Raw genomic sequence first — 16,342 nt, 5'->3', positions numbered from 1 at the left:
AACCCTTCCTCGGGCACTGACAACCCTGGCTTCCCACACCACACACCACATTGTCATCATGCATCTTCCCCGCCAGCCAGAGGCCCTGGAGGGCAGGGGCTGCATCTCCAGGGCCCAGCTCTGAATCTCGGCCATAGAGACACATTAGACATTAGCCCAGGGATGGTTCTGAGGCGCTCATGGGTTCAAGCATATGAATTCAGCAAACACCGGCTGAGTCTCTGCTGGGTGAGTCTCAAGGCCAGACCCAGGCTGCAGGGCCCTAATAGAAGCTGTGAGGGGGGAGGCTGCAGTACCCCACCCTCGCTTTCCCTCAGCCTCCTCCCCATGTTTTCCATCAACACGGACTGCGCTGCTGGGTTTTATGGGCCCTCAGAGTCATATAAAGCCTTCCTAGATGAGAAGGGCTATCCAAGTGAATGACGAGTGAGATGGAATTTCAGTTCAGAACCCAGGCCTTCTGCCTTCAGCACCCAGAGCTTTTTCCAAGACCATGCAGTGGCCTCTGACTTACCTGTACACAGATTAGATCATTTTCAGCCCCTGACACTCTCAGGCTCCCCCAGGCTGGAAGGGGGAGCCTGCTGGGGGGCCAGCTCTGAGACTATCCTAGCCCAGCAGTGCTGAGCTCAATACACGTGTGGTGTTGGGGTGGAGCCAGGCTGGGGGCGTGGTTGGGGGGACCGGCCTCACCTTGGTCAGCTGGTCCCCCTCGCGCCAGAGGCAGAAGCCTGAGCAGAGGGTCTCTCCGCGTCTGTACTCTGGCGTCTCTCGGTGTGTGGGCAGCGTGACCGACCTCAGCGCGATGACATAGGGGTCCCTGAGTGAAGGAAGGGTAGCAAGGGGACAGGGGTCAGCCACAGAAGAAAGTGGGGGCCTGTTCTGCCCAACCAAGGCCGAGACCCTGCCCCCTCTAGCACAGATTCCTCACCAGGGGGATGCAAGGCACATCGACTCTTAAAGCCCCAATGCGGGGCTCAGGGCCAGGCTGGAGGGAGGAGGTACCTGTGGGTTAGCACTGAATTCACCAGGAGCCAACCTGACTTCACTGTGGACTTTCTGGAAAAGCCACTCCACTTCAACGCTCAGGGGAAGACTCGTGGGCTTTGGGATTTTTTTTCTGTCCCTGTCTCTCCAGCAAAAGAGATGTTTAGGCCCTCCAGCCCACACAGGGCTGTCAGAGGGAGGAGGCCAAGGAGGTGGCCACGTGAGAAATATCCTGCCCAAGGCCTGCATCGAGGCAGCCTGAGCCACCCTGGGTAAGGGTGGCCCTGCTCTAGGGAATGCGACAAGAGGGGAAATGTGTGCCCCTATCCCTCATTTTACCCATAGTAAAGCCACAGCAGCCCAGAAAAGTCTAGTGGTGCCTGGGGCCCCACAGCCAATGGGAAGCAGAGCTCTGGCTCCAGGCTGATGCCCTTCCCTGGGAGGGAGAAGCGGCCACCCTACCACCCTGTCCAGTTGTGTCCCCCACCCCACAGCAGATAGGCACACACCCATTGTCACAAGGCTTCCGCCTCGAGGCCAGGATCACGAAGTCCTGGGGCTTTGTGTGACCTCCGAGGGCAGGGCTGGTGACGTGGTAGATGGCGTCGTCCTCGTCTACCTGCTGCACTAGCTCCACGCTCCTGTGGGGAGGCCGGGATCTCAGTGCCCCAGGAAGCTTCCAGCTCCCATGCAAGCAGCGGGTCTGCCCGGGCCCTGCCACACTGCAGTGCCTGAGCAGCTTCTGTGATGGGATGTCACCCCCTGTACTGCTCAGCAAGGGCCAGCAGGAAGGCAGCAAAGCCCAGCCAAGATGGACACACATGTGCGTGTGCACACACAGGCACATGTAGACATGCATGCAAGTAAATGAACACATACACACAGACATGGGAACAAAGATGTGCACATACATGCACACATGTGGTCATATGTGCACAGGCACATGGACAGACATCAGTGTACACAGAGACCCACGTGTGTCTATACATGTCTGCGCAGGTGCAGACACCACAAGGATGTGTGATGATTTAGCAGTTGTTCTTAATATTTACTGAGCGCCCACTGAGTGCCAGGTGCTGTTCTAAATGCTTTACATGTGTCACTTAATCTCCATAACAGCCCCATGCTGTAGACGCTTTTAGTATTCCTATCTCATAGATGAGGAAGATAACCTGCCCACGGCCACAGAGCTAATAAGGAAGCAGGGCTGGGGTGTGTCCAGGCTATCAGGTGGCAGAGATGTATCCCCAGGCCCAGGCACCTGACACATACATGCATGGGCATACACAGGTTCATACCAACACGTGCACCCACACAAGGACACCCACACAGAGGCAGGCATGGCCATGTCCAGACCCACCTCCTCCTCCCCACTCCCCTGCCTGCACTCAGCAGTAGGCAGGGTATGGGGAAGAAACTAGGGGCTCTCTTTCCCCTCAGGCCACTCCCCCACAAATCCCATCAAGTATCAAGATTTGGTCTGGCCTTCAAGGCCCACCCCAGCCTCCCTCCAAGAAGCCCACCTACCACATGCACAACCGCCCTCCCCCTACACGACATCCACCACCAAATCACCTCTCTGCCTTCTGGAAGGGGACAACCAGCAGGCCTGAGTCAGCTGGGCCAGGGCTTTTTAAGGCAACATGGCCCTTTTTGCAAAGACACCTTCAGCAGGAAGCCCATGTATAAAGAGCTACAAGCCTGCTCTGGAGAAAATAGATGGGGTGGGAAGGGGAAAGCCAGTTTGTCAAAATACAATTCACCAAGTGACCAGCGGACTGAATTTCCAAACACACAGAACCTCCTTACGGAAATTCTCCAGAATGTAGGCTCCTCATAACAAGCAATTATCAAAGAACCCCCTCGAGCCCCGGTGATGGCAGAACAGAAAATGACTTTAAGGGGACTTGAAAAACACAAATTTTGCTATTTTCCTAAGAACATATTTATCTTCCTTGACTAAATTCGAGAAGAAGATAGTCATGTGAACAATCAATAAATTTGGAGGAACAAATGTATGTAAAGGAATAACATATTTCTATTCATAATCATTCATTATATTCAAAAATAATATATTTGTGAGGAAAATCAGCAAACTTGGTAAGTTCAACAAACTGGCCATGCTATGTCCCGATCACCCTTCATCCTTCCAACTCCACCCCCAGCAGTTCCGGAAGCCCCTTTGGGAACACAGAACTCCACAGCACATGGTTTGAAAATCAGTATCTCTGAGTGTGAATCCATGACCCGCCATCCAAGCATCCATTTTAAGAAGAGAGAAACTGAGGCCAGAAAGGAAGTGACTTTGACTTATCCAATGTCACACAGCTGGTTGGGACAGAAGCAGGACTTCAACTCAAGCCTCCAGCTCTAATTCCGTGCTCAGTCTCTTCCCTAAGGGCTCAAAATACCCATGACCCTGAACCCCCACCCAGCATGGAACTCCAACCCACCCCCAGCCCCAGCAGGGCAGAGCATCATGGAGGATGACCCGCAGAAGGAGACACTCTCTCCCTCATCAGGCCGGAGAAGGGACACTGCCCTGCCCTCACCCTGGCCCCTCACCGGTAGTGCTTGTCCCACTCTGGCCTCTGACGCAGGTCCGAGAGCAGCAGGAAGGCCTGGGCTGCATCCACATGCACCACCATCTCCATGTGGAAGGAGAGGAACTTGTCATCCTCCAGAGTGTACAGGCGGACCTGCATGGGATAGAGGGCAGCCTCATTTGCTGGGTGGTGGAGTGGACTGATGGGGATGCTGGAGGCTGAGACTGGAAGCTCAGGGCTACAGCTGACTTGCTGTGTGAATGTGAACACGCAGCTCAACCTCTCTGAGTCTCAGCTGCATCCCCACGAATTATGAATTCAGCACAAATGGACAGGAAGGTGGCTTAAGACAACAGTGACTAAGGCAACATGTGGTGGTTCCTGTCAGCCAGGTGCCCATCCAAGCCCCAGTGGCACAGGCAGGAAGTGGCTTGTCTAGGGGAACAGGCAGCTGGCAGAGCTTAGGTCTCCTGTAAGCGCGTGCCTGCTGGCTGCCCCGATCCCTGCAGTGATCACTGCAGAAGAACAGAGAGGGAGGAAGTGCCTGGTCAGACAGCAGCAGACCTGAGTGGTTGAGAACAGGAAGGGGGGCAGGCAGGAGAGAAGAATCTAGGGGTTCTCGACTCCAGGCCCTGCAGGGGTGGGTACGTTTCCATAACTGGACTGGTTTCTTGATCTCACCCAATTCTTTGAAGAGATCTTTTTTTGACATAAGTGGTGTGGGAGAGTTCTTGTTGCTTGCCATTAGCCACCTCTGGCTCAGATGAGAAAGGAAAATTGGGTGGGTGGGGTCAGCTACCTGACTGATCTCCGAGGACAGCACCCAGTTGTCCTTGGCCACAAGCATCTTCAAGGAGGAGACGTTATTGTAGCTCAGGTACACCTGAAAGAGTACACAGGTGCTACCACTACCCCACCCCCTTCCTTCAGGGCCCCTGAGCCAAGGCCAAGGGTGTGCCAGAGAGGAACCTGGGCCAGGAATGGGTTGGGCGGTGGGTGGGTGGTGCGGCAGGTGCTGTGGAAAGAGTCCTGGGCGTTGAGAAGGGAGGTCCAGGCTTGGGCTTGGCTAGACCCACTGTGTGACCCTAGACAAGCTACTCTGCCTCTCAGGGTCTCCGCTTCCACCTACCAAACAGGGACGCAGGCCAGCTCTTTGCTAATGGTAGCAATCATGAGGCGTGTCATTCATATCCTGCTCTCCCCGGCCTTCCTCCAAACCCGTTCTGACAAGCAGGGAAGGGTGGGGGCCCGGTGGGTCTGAAGACTGTCCTCTCGGAGCAGAGAGCCTTACCTGGTTGCTAGGGTCCCAGGGGACGGAGAGGGGCACCTCTGTCTGCTTACAGGACACGATGTACTTCCTGGGAAGGAGAGAAGATGACAACCTTGGTCCCCTGGAAGTTCAGCACTTTCCACAGACTCTACTGCAGGCCTACTCTGTGCTAGGCCCTGTGCTGAGCCCGGCAGAATGGGAGACTCCTGTCTGGGTAGGGAGGCTGGATGGTCACACAGGACACAGCAGCTGAGGGCACACCAGCTCGGCCCCTACACCAGGGAAAGCTCAGAGGTGGGAGCGAGCCAGCAAGGAAGGGTATGGCGTCTAAGGCTCGATTCCCACACCCCATACCCCTGCTGAGTGACCTCACCCTGGTGCTGCTGTGTCCTCATCTGTGAAATGGGATCAGCAGTCACCCCTGCCTCATGGGGACATCACAATAACAGTGCTTGGCACACGGTAAATGCTCAGTAAATGCCATAGATGCACACTTTCTTACTAACAACAGCTTGTGATCCCTGCTGTGCTTACAGCCTCTAAAGTCCATAAATGCTTTCACAGCAGAGTCAGACACACCTGGCTTCATTTTTATTTATTTATTTATTTTGAGACAGAGTCTTGCTCTGTTGCCCAGGCTGGAGTGCAATGGCACAATCTCGGCTTGCTACAACCTGCAACTCCCGGTTCAAGCGATTCTCTTGCCTCAGCCTCAGCCTCCTGACTATAGGTGCACTGGGACTACAGGCGAGAGCCACCACGCCCAGCTAATTTTTGTATTTTTAGTAGAGACGGGGTTTTGCCATGTTGGCCAGGCTAGTCTCAAACTCCTGAACTCAGGGGATCTGCCTGCCTCGGCCTCCCAAAGTGGCTTTACCTCTTGAACAACTGCATCTCCTCTCTGAACGTTTCTTCATCTGCCAAATGGGCATCAGAATCAATGGCAAGAACACAGGATTTAAAATCGGCTGGACTCAGCCAGCTTCAAATTCTGACTCTGCTGATGATATTTGTGTGTCCCTGGGCAAGCCACCTAACCCCTCTGTCCCCAGCGTCCTCGTGTGTACAACAGGCCAGAAGACCGCTGTGTAATAAGACCAAAACGAGAGGATGTAAAGGGCCCGGCCCAGGGCCCAACGCACAGGCAGCTCTGAAGAAAAGCGAGTGCCCTGGGGTCAGCGGAGCGTGAACAGCCCCGAATCCACATTCTGCCCACCACTCAGCCCCTACTCACCTGTCCAGGCGGATCTTCTTTCTGGCACTGGCCTCTCGGTACCGCCGCTCACCATCCTGGGGAGGAAGTCGGGATAGGCAACCAGCTACCCCCACCCTCCGTCCTGCCCCCTCTCCATCCCCCAGGGCCCAAGGAGTTCCTGCAGCCCTAACGTGGAGTTCAGGTGTCGCTGGGGCAGCTGGAATCAAAACATCCTGGCCAGCAAAGTGGGAAACTAAGCTGTAGCCCCAGCTCCCCTCAAACTCTCTGAGTGACCTGGGAACACCACCTCCCCTGGCCAGACCTCAGTTTCCTCCTCTGTAAAATGGGGATCCTTACAGGCCACTCACAATGGTAATGAGAGTCCACATTTACTGAGCACTCACTACACACCAGCCACTCTTCTCAAGGGCTTTCCATGTGGAATTGCACCAAATCCTTACAACAACCCTCTGAGGCTGGGGCTGGTGCTGTATCCATTCTACAGAGGAGGAACCTGAGACAAGGAAGGGTGAGGGCTTGCCAAGGCCACAGGGGTAAGGGCCGAGGCCAGGATCAGCACCCCAATGGCCTGCCTCAAGCCCACCCTCTTTACCGCCACATCTAACGTCCTCCAGCCCCAAGTACAAGGAAAATGCCTGGGAAGCGGCTATGGCTGTGACCCCCAGCTCCCAGTCCCGAGGCTCCACCCAACTCCACAGCCCACGCTACCCTCTGGAAGGCCAGCAGGAAGGCCAGGGGACCTCCCCCAAGGGAGGGAGCGGCCTCTCCAAGGCCTGGCCCACAGGAGGCACAGGGAGCATTTTGTAAGAGAGGACCTTGCACCAGGCTCCTGACTGTCTTCCCGTGCCCCTTGCGTTGCTTTCACCATCCTCCTGACCGCTCCCAGGGCGCAGCCAGGCATGGAGTCAGTACTGCATCTATCGCCCCACAGTCCTGTGAGGTAGGGACTGCAGATACACCCATTTTACAAATGGAGACTGAAAGCTCGAGGGGGCATCACTTGAATGTAGTAGAGGCGAGGTTCCAACCCACATCTGACTCCAAAGCCAGTACTCTTCCAACCCTGCAGGCTCATGACAGCCCATTAACCCCCAACTCCGAGCCAGACCCACACATACTCCGAGTTCTGTCAGGCAGAACAAGCCCGCCCTGCACAAGGGGCATCCCAGGGCTCACAGCCAGGACACTCAGCTGGCTGTGCCCCAGCACGGGGGTAGGGTGGGCCCCTCACGCCTCTAGGTCTGTAGGGGGCTGGCAGTCTCCACCATGCCAGGGCAGAGAGGGAGGGGAGGGGAGCTGCTGGTGGGGCAGGGCGCTGGTCCCACTTACGCCGGGCTGGGGCCGAATCCAGGGCAGCAACTGGGGCTGGTCATCTGCGTCCAGGACCACAAAGGTCATAAAGGCACTGTTGATGTGGCGCCGGTGGGTCTCAGCCTCCTGGCGATAGGCCTCCACGCACACGCCCACCTCCATGCTGAGGGGAGGGAGTGTGGCTTCCAACCTGGACAGACCTTCCCAAGGGCCATGCCTCCTCCCCAACACACACACTCACACACACACATGCACACATGCGCCCACACACATGCATGCACACACACACACGTATGCACACACATACACACACATGTATGCACACACATACACACACATGTATGCACACACACACTCACATACACTCCTGCAGTTCTTCCAGCAACGTGGATCAGAGTCCCAGTGACAGGACACCTGGGACCGCTCCCTCCACCATTGTTTACAGAGCACCTCTTGTGTGTGTCCGGCCCTGTGAGGATGCGAGAGTGAATAAACCTGTCCAGTCTATGCCTCATGGGCTAACAGTCAGGGGAGGAGGCAACCAACAAGAAAGCAAAGGTATAAATATGCCATCAAAAACTGCAAAGGGATGTAAGGACATAAACCAGGAGGTGGAGGTGGACGGCCTAATTAGAAAATGTTCATTATGTGCATATTTACAAGTGCTGTGGCAGCCTTGCTTCAAACAGCTCAGTTGCTGCTATTCATGTATCTTACTGTCTTTATTTCTTTATTCCTTTATTTATTTTTTGAGACAGTCTCATTCTGTCGCCCAGGCTGGAGTACAGTGGTACAATCTTGGCTCACTGCAACCTCCGCCTCTTGGATTCAAGGGATTCTCGTGCCTCAGCCTCCTGAGTAGCTGGGATTACAGGTGTGTGCACCATGCCTGGCTCATTTTTTGTTTATTTAATAGAGACGGGGTTTCGCCATGTTGGCCAGGATAGTCTTGAACTCCGAGCCGTAAGTGATCTTCCTGCCTCGGCCTCCCAAAGTGCTGGGATTACAGGCGTGAGCCACTGCGCTCAGCCACTTACCATCCTTATTAATTATAAAATAGCAGCCACCACCATTCCCCCTCACTTTGGAAGTTCTATGATTGCAGAGTGTGGACATTATATAGATGGGGAAACCAAGGCCTAGAACTGGGCAATGATTTTTCCAAGGATTCCAGATTCCTGGAATCTGGACTAAAATCCAGGCTTCACAGCTCCTACAAAAGGGCTTTTCCCCTGCACCGTGGCAGAACGTGTGCAAGTCAGACTGCAAATAACAACAATAATAGTAAGAGCAGCCACAATGGCTGACCTTTACCGGACATTTTCTCTGGCGTTCTACTAGTAACGGCTCATTGAATCCTCATAACTCTGAGGTAGTTGTGATGAGCCCCATTTTATAGGTGAAAGAACTGACACTCAGAGGGGTTAAGTTACTTCTAAGGTCACAGAGCCAGTAAGAGGTGGAGCCAAACTCGAATCCGGCAGCCTGGCTCCTGATCCCTCACTTTTAATAATTAAATAATGACCTCTGAAATTCTCAAAAAATTTACTTATTTAAAGTCAGCTTTCATGGGAGTAGGTTTCAGAATTCATTGCAAAGGCAAAGACTCTGTGGACTAATTATTTTAGGAAATGTGTGGGAAAGGGTTTGATAAATAACCAAACACTGGCAAGAAGTGGCCCTGTGATCTGAGCATCTACAGCGGTCCAGGCATGGAGCCAGGAGCCAAGGAGGGAGACAGAGACACTGATCTGAGACAGCGGGAGACAGGGGCTGGGGGATCCCAGAGGAGGGGTCCCTGACCCAGCCAGGGGTGGGCAGGACTGGGAGCCAGGGAAGGCTCCCAAGAAGGGAAAATCAGAGCTGAATTTCAGAGGAACCCATCAGCCAGGCAGGGATTTAGACCCTGTCTGCAGGGCAAAGGGCTCCTGGACAGTTTGAAGTAGGGTCCTTTCTAGGGTCAGGAAGAGCCCTCAGCCCTGAATGGACGTGGCCGCACCCATCCCAGACCCTCACCTATGTTTGAAGGCATTGTTCACGATGGCTTTGAGCACCAGACGGTCGCCGACCTGGGACGGGCCTCGGAAGTGGAACATTTCAATGGCCTTCAGCGTAGGGTGGGCACGGCAGAGCCGGCTGAGGAGGCAGGGGTGGGGAGACAGAAGGAATGCCCCTGGTGCTTCAGCCACTAGTTTGGGCCAGATTTTTATATATATATATATATATATATATATATATATATATATATATTTTTTTTTTTTTTTTTTTTTTTTTTTTTTTTTTTTGAGACAGAGTTTCACTCTTGTTGCCCAGGCTGGAGTGCAATGGCAGGATCTCGGCTCACTGTAACTTCTGCCTCCTGGGTTCAAGCAATTCTCCTGCCTCAGCCTCCTGAGTAGCTGGGATTACAGGTGTCCGCCACCATGCCCAGCTAATTTTTTGTATTTTTAGTAGAGACAGGGTTTCACCATGTTGGCCAGCATGGTTGCAAACTCCTGACCTCAGGTGATCCACCCCCCTCGGCCTCCCAAAGTGCTGGGATTACAGGCATGAGCCACCACACCTGGCCTCTCTTTTTTTTTTTTTTTTTTGAGACAGGGTTTCACTCTGTTGCCCAGGCTGGAATGCAGTGGTGCAATCTCGGCTCACTGCAACCTCCGCCTCCCGGGTTCAAGTGACTCTCCTGCCTCAGCCTCCCAAGTAGCTGAGACTACAGGCACGCACCACCACACCTGGCTAATTTTTGTATTTTTAGTAGAGATGAGGTTTTACCTTGTTCCCAGGCTGGTCTTGAACTTCTGGCCTAAGTGGCCTCAGCCTCCCAAAGCGCTGGGATTACAGGTGTGAGCCACCATGCTAGGCCAGCTTGGGCCAGCCTTCTACCCTGGTCCCATCCCCAGACGCAGCCTGGAACTACACATTCTGACCCACCCACTGCCACCCAACCCAGTGGCAGTTCTGCCCAGAGGCACAGAACTAAAGTCCCATTTCATAGTTTAGAATACTGAGGTCTATGCATGGCTGGAAAGAAGCCAAGTTTGAGGGGACAGAAGAAAGCAGGGCTTTGGGTAAACCCCTTTCCCATTTTCCTTCCAACTTTTACACCTTGGTAGCTGCTGTTCCCACTATCCAGAAGCCCTCCCCTTACCCAAAGCTACTTGGCATTCAAGTCCCAGCTGAAGTGCTCTTCCTTCAGGCAGCCTTCCCTGACCATCAGGCTCCTCCAGGATCTTACTGCACTCATAGCCAGGCCTGCCCAAAACAGCATTGCTTATGCACTGTCTCCCACAGGTTAAACTGGAGGAGGGGCCATTTAAGCCAGGCTCTAAAGAATAAGGAGGAATCCACCTGGCTGGAAAGGGCATGGGTTGGGAAAGGCACTCCTGGTAGAGGGAACAGCAAGAGCAAAGTCTTGGAGGTGTGAGAGTGTCAATTAGTGAAGGTCAGTTACCATAACTATAAAAAATACCCTGATATTTAGGGTAGAACAAGCCCCGGACAGAAACAGATGTTAGAGGAGAGAAAACAATTTTCACCCCTTAGAAGAAGGGAACAGTCAGAGATGGCTTTATGGAGGAAGTGGGCAGGATATTAGCAGACAAAGAAGAGTAGGGGAAGCACGGCAGGAGGCTACATCAGGAGCAAAGGCAGGGGCTGGGAAAGTGGAGGATGGGAACAGAGAACAGCAAATGGTTTGATGTGAAGCGAACATAGATACTAGAAGGCTTGATGTGAAGGGAACATAGATACTAGAAGGAGTGCAGGTAGGGCCAGATCAAGGGGAGGATCTAGTGCCAGGCCAAGAGACCTGGTGTTTCCCATGTAAAAGATGCTAGCTTTTTTAGTAGAACAAGGAATGGTCAGTTCACAAAAATTCATTTCTCTGATTCAGAACAGCCAAGCTTCTGAAGCCTTGAATGCCAACCCCAAGCTGGGGTTTCCCCTCCAGAGGGAGGTAGCCAAGGGGAGGAGGAGGAGAAAGGAGGGGAGGCAGAGGCAGCACACCCTGCCCTCACCTGGCTGCAATGGTGGCCACATTCTCCATCCAGGCCATGATCTGGCCCCCAAAGGTGTTGCCCTGGTGATTGGCGTGGGGAGGCAGGACCAGCTCCACACTCTCCACACGGGTCTTCTCAGCCGGCACCATGCGGCTACAGTCTCTGCTCTCCAGATCTGACCAGGGATGGGATAAGGGAGGGAAGCAGGGAGGTGAGAACATTCCCAAGGGCAGCCCCTCCCCACAGGCAGCCCTGGGACCCCCACCACTCTACCCCACTCAGGTTCTTTTATTTACTCAGCACAGAGTGCACATGAGGCAGAGGGTGGCCCTGGATGAGAGGGATGAGCCTGTCCAGTGCAGTGGATGCAGCACCAGCTCTGAGACAAGACAGCAGGTCTGAGCCTCAGCTCCACTCCAGACTGCCTGTATGGCCTTGGGCAAATCAAGTAATCCCTCTGAGCCTCGGTTGCCTCATCTGTAAAGGCAGGCATGAAATCCGACCCGATAGGACTGTTTGAAGATGAAATGTGATTATTGTCACAAAGTGCTTGACTCAAGGCCAGACATAATGGCTCATGCCTGTAATCTCAGCACTTTGGGAGGCCAAGGAGGGTAGATCCCTTGAGGCCAGGAGTTCAAGACCAGCCTGGCCAACATGGTGAAACTTTGTCTCTACTAAAATACAAAAAAGTTAGCTGGGCATGGTGGCGAGTGCCTGTAATCCCAGCTACTCAGGAGGCTGAGCCACGAGAATCACTTGAACCTGGGAGGCAGAGGTTGCAGTGAGCCGAGATCACGCCACTATACTCCAGCCTGGGCAACAGAGTGAGACTCTGTCTCAAAAAAAATAATAATCACAAAGTACTTGACTCCAGTAAATATGCTCTCAAAAAGGATGGTTTTTCCCTGCCTTCTGCCCTGGTGATTCCCTTATCCTTGGCAGCAACAGTGTTAGAATATCCTTAGTAGGAGAGGCCAGGCAGTGCATGGGGTCCTGGGCTTCAGGGCAGCAGATGCTGGCATGCCCCACCAAACCCAAGGTGGTGTCATTTGTCTCCTATCTCCCATGGAGAGACTTCTTCAGGGAGGGTCCATCAAAGAGCTGGCATTGCCCTTGGCTTGGCTTGCAGGCTCTCAGAGAGACCACAGACAGGGTGGGGGCAGACAGGAGGGGAAGTTGAGGGTGGCCTGAGCCAAGGTCTGGAGACAGGACGGGGAGGGTATTCACAGGGCAATGGGGCCTGTGGCTTAACAGGAGCTGCAGCAGGTCAAGAGACAGTACCCAGTGAAGCTGAGTGGCCAGCCAGAAGGCCCAGTGCCAGGCAAAGGCACTTGAGCTGATTCTTAGGTGGGAGCGCTGTTAGGACAGAAGAGATTTAGGAGGGCTGCAAGGGGATGGATGGATCAAAGGGGCCTTGATGACTGTAGGAAGAGCTGGGCCTCCCCAGCTCCGGCCTCCAAGCCCAGTAGAACCAGGGCACATGGAACTCAGGGCATAGCTTGAGGCTTCCTCTGGGCTTGGCGAGTTCTGCCTGCTCTCTCCCCACTCCGGGGAGATTTTCTTCTAAGATCGCCTCCTTTTGGTTTCAAGGAAGACTCAAATTTGAACATTCTGGGGATAAGTAAACAAGTCCAAGGTCTCCCTTCTAGGCCTTTGCCCAGGCTGTGCCCTCTGTCAGAAACCCTTCCTTATCTCCCATCTGTCAAAATCCCACCCAGTCCAAAGTAGATCTTTCTGTACTGGTATAGAACAACCCCCAGGATATATTTTTAAGGGGAAACTGCAAGATACAAAACAGTATGTACTGAATGCCCCTTTTCAGGAGCTAAATAATACATGCTATGCTTAGATATACAGGGAATACTTCTGGAAAGATACCCTAAAATGGGTAATAGTAGATGCTTCTGGGGAGACGACCTGGATTCTGGGATAGAAAGGAGTCTTGCTTTTTATTTTATCTTTTGAGGGGTGAGAATATATATACGTGTGTGTGAGTGTACGCATATATACACACACATACACATAAGCATATATATATGCTTTTTACATGTTTTATATATGCTATATACTTATTTATTTATTTTGAAATGGAGTTTCACTCTTTTTGCCTAGGCTGGAGTGCAATGGTGTGATCTCGGCTCACTGCAATCTCCGCCTCCCAGGTCCAAGCGATTCTCCTGCTTCAGCCCCCAGAGTAGCTAGGATTACAGGTGCACGCCACTACACCCAGCTAATTTTGTATTTTTAGTAGAGATGGGGTTTCACCATGTTGGCCAGGCTGGTCTTGAACTCCTGGCCTCAGGTGATCCACCCGCCTCGGCCTCCCAAAGTGCTGGGATTACAAGCATGAGCCACCACGCCCGGCCTATATATGCTTTTTATAGATGCATACATATATATATGCTTTTTAAAAAATTCTACAGTCTTCAAGTTATAGCTCAATACTATCTTCCCAAACACCTTGGCTTCTGGAGACCCAAATGCGTTTTGTGGCCAACAAAGGGATTTCCACATGACCTAACGGCAGCTTCATGGTTCCTGGGAGCTGGTAGAGAGGCCCAAACACTCCCCTTCCCTGGAGGAGACCTCGGAGCCAAGAGGGCTAGGAGAGGCCCAGGGCCACCAGTGGGTGGAAGTCCCCGGAGCCTCCCTTCCTGCCTCTGCCCAGTGGGAGCCCGGGGCAGAGGGGCCATGCAGGACGCCAGCTACCCTCCCCATGCACAGCTGGCAGCTGCTCACCGCCCTGAATGGCGCAGTTGGCCAGGAGGTCCTTGATGGTGTCTGCATAGACAAGGCGCATGCGCCGGCGCTCAGCCGCCACACTGTGCTCCATCTTCTCCTCTTCTGTCCGCGGCGTGATCTGCTTCAGCTTCACCTGTCGGCCAGGGGACAGGGTGGGGGACACTCAGGGCAAGTCTCCTGAAATAGCACAAGGGCCTGTCCCCAGCACCATGCCATGCCCGAGGCTAGCACACAGCAGGCGTGGGCTGCTGCTCAGTTCCAAGGCTTCCTCCCTCTTTGCCCCATCTTCCTGCCTCCACGATGACCTGATACATATTCATCCTCCAGCTCCCACCCAGGTCCCTTCCTTGGCCAAAGGCTCAGAGGATGGGGGGTGTCACTGTAGGTGACAGAATGGTGAGACCAGAATGGTGAGACCAGAAGAATCTTCGCTGGAGAAGCACAGGGAGAGGTGGGGAAAGGAGGGGAGAGGGGGCTGGGGGATTCCAATGCAATGAGGGGTGGGCCTTCCTCAGGGAGCTGTGGATTCCTGCTGTGTCCCTCCCCATCCCCTCTGCCAACCCCTAACCTCATTCCCCTGAGCCAGACTCGCCATGGCAGGTGCCCAGGTCACTGAGCAGCGTTCCAGCAGCCAGGCGCACCCAGTTACCTTGGTGATCTCTCGGCGGGCCACGAAGGTGGCCAAGGCCTTGCACACATTCCACTGCTTCTCAGAGCACAGGTCCTCCGAGGCCACCTGGATGCCCACCTGGAGAGGAACAGTAAGGGCGAAGGAATGAGGAACAACATTGCACTCACCAGTTAGAAGCCCCGCAGCTCCACCAGACAGCAAGTCCCAGCCCAGGCCAGGCCTCCAGAGTTTCTGCACCACCTACCAGGTCTGGGAGGCCAGAGATCTGAGGGGGGGTTTGACTCTGCCCTTGGGTCCCCGGGAAACCTTGGGCAAGTCACTTCCCTTCTCTGGGTCTCAGTTTCCTCATCTACAAAGTGGGAGTGATCAGACCTACCCTTGTGGGATTGTTGAGAGGATTAAAATGAGACTATGTCTACAACAGGGCTTCATACAGGCAGAATGTTGGCTAAATTTAAAGGATAGGCCAGGCTCAATGGCCTGTAATTCTAGAATTTTGGGAGGCTGCAGCGGGAGGATCACTTGAGGCCAGGAGTTCAAAACAAGCCAGGGCAACACAGTGAGACCCCTGTCTCTGCAAAAAAAAAAAAAAAAAAAAACCACACACACACAAAAATTAGCTGTGTGGTGGCACATGCCTGTAGTCCCAGCTACTCAGGAGGCTGAGGCAGGAATATTGCTAAAGCCCAGGAGTTTGAGGTTACAGTGAGCTATGATGGCACCACTGCACTCCAGCTTGGGTGACAGAGTAAGACCTCATCTCAAAACAATAATAAAAATAAAATAAAAAATCAAGAACAGGCACCTGGGGGTACCTGAGCATTCATGGGGTGCCCAGAGGCATAGTCAGGGCTATGTCACCCAGCCTCAGTGCTCCCTCAGGAACCACTGGCCCAGCTGGTGAAGTTGCCTGGGCCTGAAGTCCATAGGTGGGAAATAGAGCCCTCCCCCACAGCTCACAGAACCCTGGGCATCACCAGCAGTCCTCCAACCCTGCCACAGAGGAATCATGTTCCCTTTTGCAGATGAGGAGACGGGCTGTGGGAGGCAAGCTCATGGGCTGGAAACCCAGCACTCTCCCTGCCCCAGCTCCTCCTCCAAGATCAGGCGCTCATGCTGCCTTCCCTCCATTCCCACAAAAACCTGGCTGCTGAGGCTGGATGTGAGACTCAGGGGCCTGGAAGTCAAGTCCCACACTGGAATCTATGTAGCTCAGTGACCTGGGGCAAGTCCCTTCCCCTCCTGGGCCTCGATTTTCCTGTCTGTGTTCTGGGATTTGGGACAGGAAGATCCTTGGGATTCCCCTTGCTCTGCCAACCATTACAGAACTCTGCTGCTCTAATCAGGGCCCTGCAAGTGTGAGTGGCCCTGGGCTGCAGGGAGAAGAATGGAGAGAGGAGGTAGAGGACCCACCCACGCACCCACTCCCAAGCAGTGCCCACCCCACACACCTCCATGCTGGAGTTGAAGGCCCGGTTCACCTTGGCCTTGATATTCACCACTTGTCCAACACTGGGGAGAGGAAAGTAGGAGGTGAGCCTTCCAGAGGGGCCAGAGGGAGGAACAGGGGCCTCAGATACTTGCAGAGCCTCTCTTGCGGGGAGCTGGCAGGATAACTTCATGGCTTGCAGGGCATAT

General features: G+C 53.7%; 1 protein-coding gene across 2 annotated transcripts in view, besides 1 other annotated feature; it reads right to left on the bottom strand.

Moving 5' to 3' along the window:
- ACOT11 (acyl-CoA thioesterase 11) overlaps nucleotides 1-16,342 on the bottom strand; it is a 90,965-nt gene that overhangs the window by 30,431 nt on the left and 44,192 nt on the right. For both annotated transcript variants that reach the window (NM_015547.4, NM_147161.4), the window contains exons 4-15: nucleotides 16,156-16,216; nucleotides 14,723-14,821; nucleotides 14,071-14,206; nucleotides 11,347-11,503; nucleotides 9,347-9,466; nucleotides 7,349-7,493; nucleotides 6,038-6,093; nucleotides 4,825-4,891; nucleotides 4,333-4,416; nucleotides 3,553-3,686; nucleotides 1,497-1,628; nucleotides 694-820 (exon numbers count right to left, since the gene is read on the bottom strand). In NM_015547.4, coding sequence (NP_056362.1) covers nucleotides 694-820; nucleotides 1,497-1,628; nucleotides 3,553-3,686; nucleotides 4,333-4,416; nucleotides 4,825-4,891; nucleotides 6,038-6,093; nucleotides 7,349-7,493; nucleotides 9,347-9,466; nucleotides 11,347-11,503; nucleotides 14,071-14,206; nucleotides 14,723-14,821; nucleotides 16,156-16,216 — 1,318 coding nt within the window. The remainder of the gene's footprint in view (nucleotides 1-693; nucleotides 821-1,496; nucleotides 1,629-3,552; nucleotides 3,687-4,332; nucleotides 4,417-4,824; nucleotides 4,892-6,037; nucleotides 6,094-7,348; nucleotides 7,494-9,346; nucleotides 9,467-11,346; nucleotides 11,504-14,070; nucleotides 14,207-14,722; nucleotides 14,822-16,155; nucleotides 16,217-16,342) is intronic.
- Nucleotides 13,634-14,456: an enhancer, noted in NCBI's record as "H3K4me1 hESC enhancer chr1:55059979-55060801 (GRCh37/hg19 assembly coordinates)". NCBI's record gives its function as "activates a minimal SCP1, AML or CMV promoter by ChIP-STARR-seq in naive H9 embryonic stem cells {active_cell/tissue: H9 hESC(naive)}" and the evidence as "EXISTENCE:reporter gene assay evidence [ECO:0000049][PMID:30033119]".

The sequence above is a fragment of the Homo sapiens genome, chromosome 1 (assembly GCF_000001405.40).
Source record: "Homo sapiens chromosome 1, GRCh38.p14 Primary Assembly".
In the NCBI taxonomy this organism is placed as follows: Eukaryota; Metazoa; Chordata; class Mammalia; order Primates; family Hominidae; genus Homo; species Homo sapiens.
The sequence above is the reverse complement of the archived record's forward strand: the minus strand, read 5'-3'. Positions and strand labels throughout refer to the sequence as shown.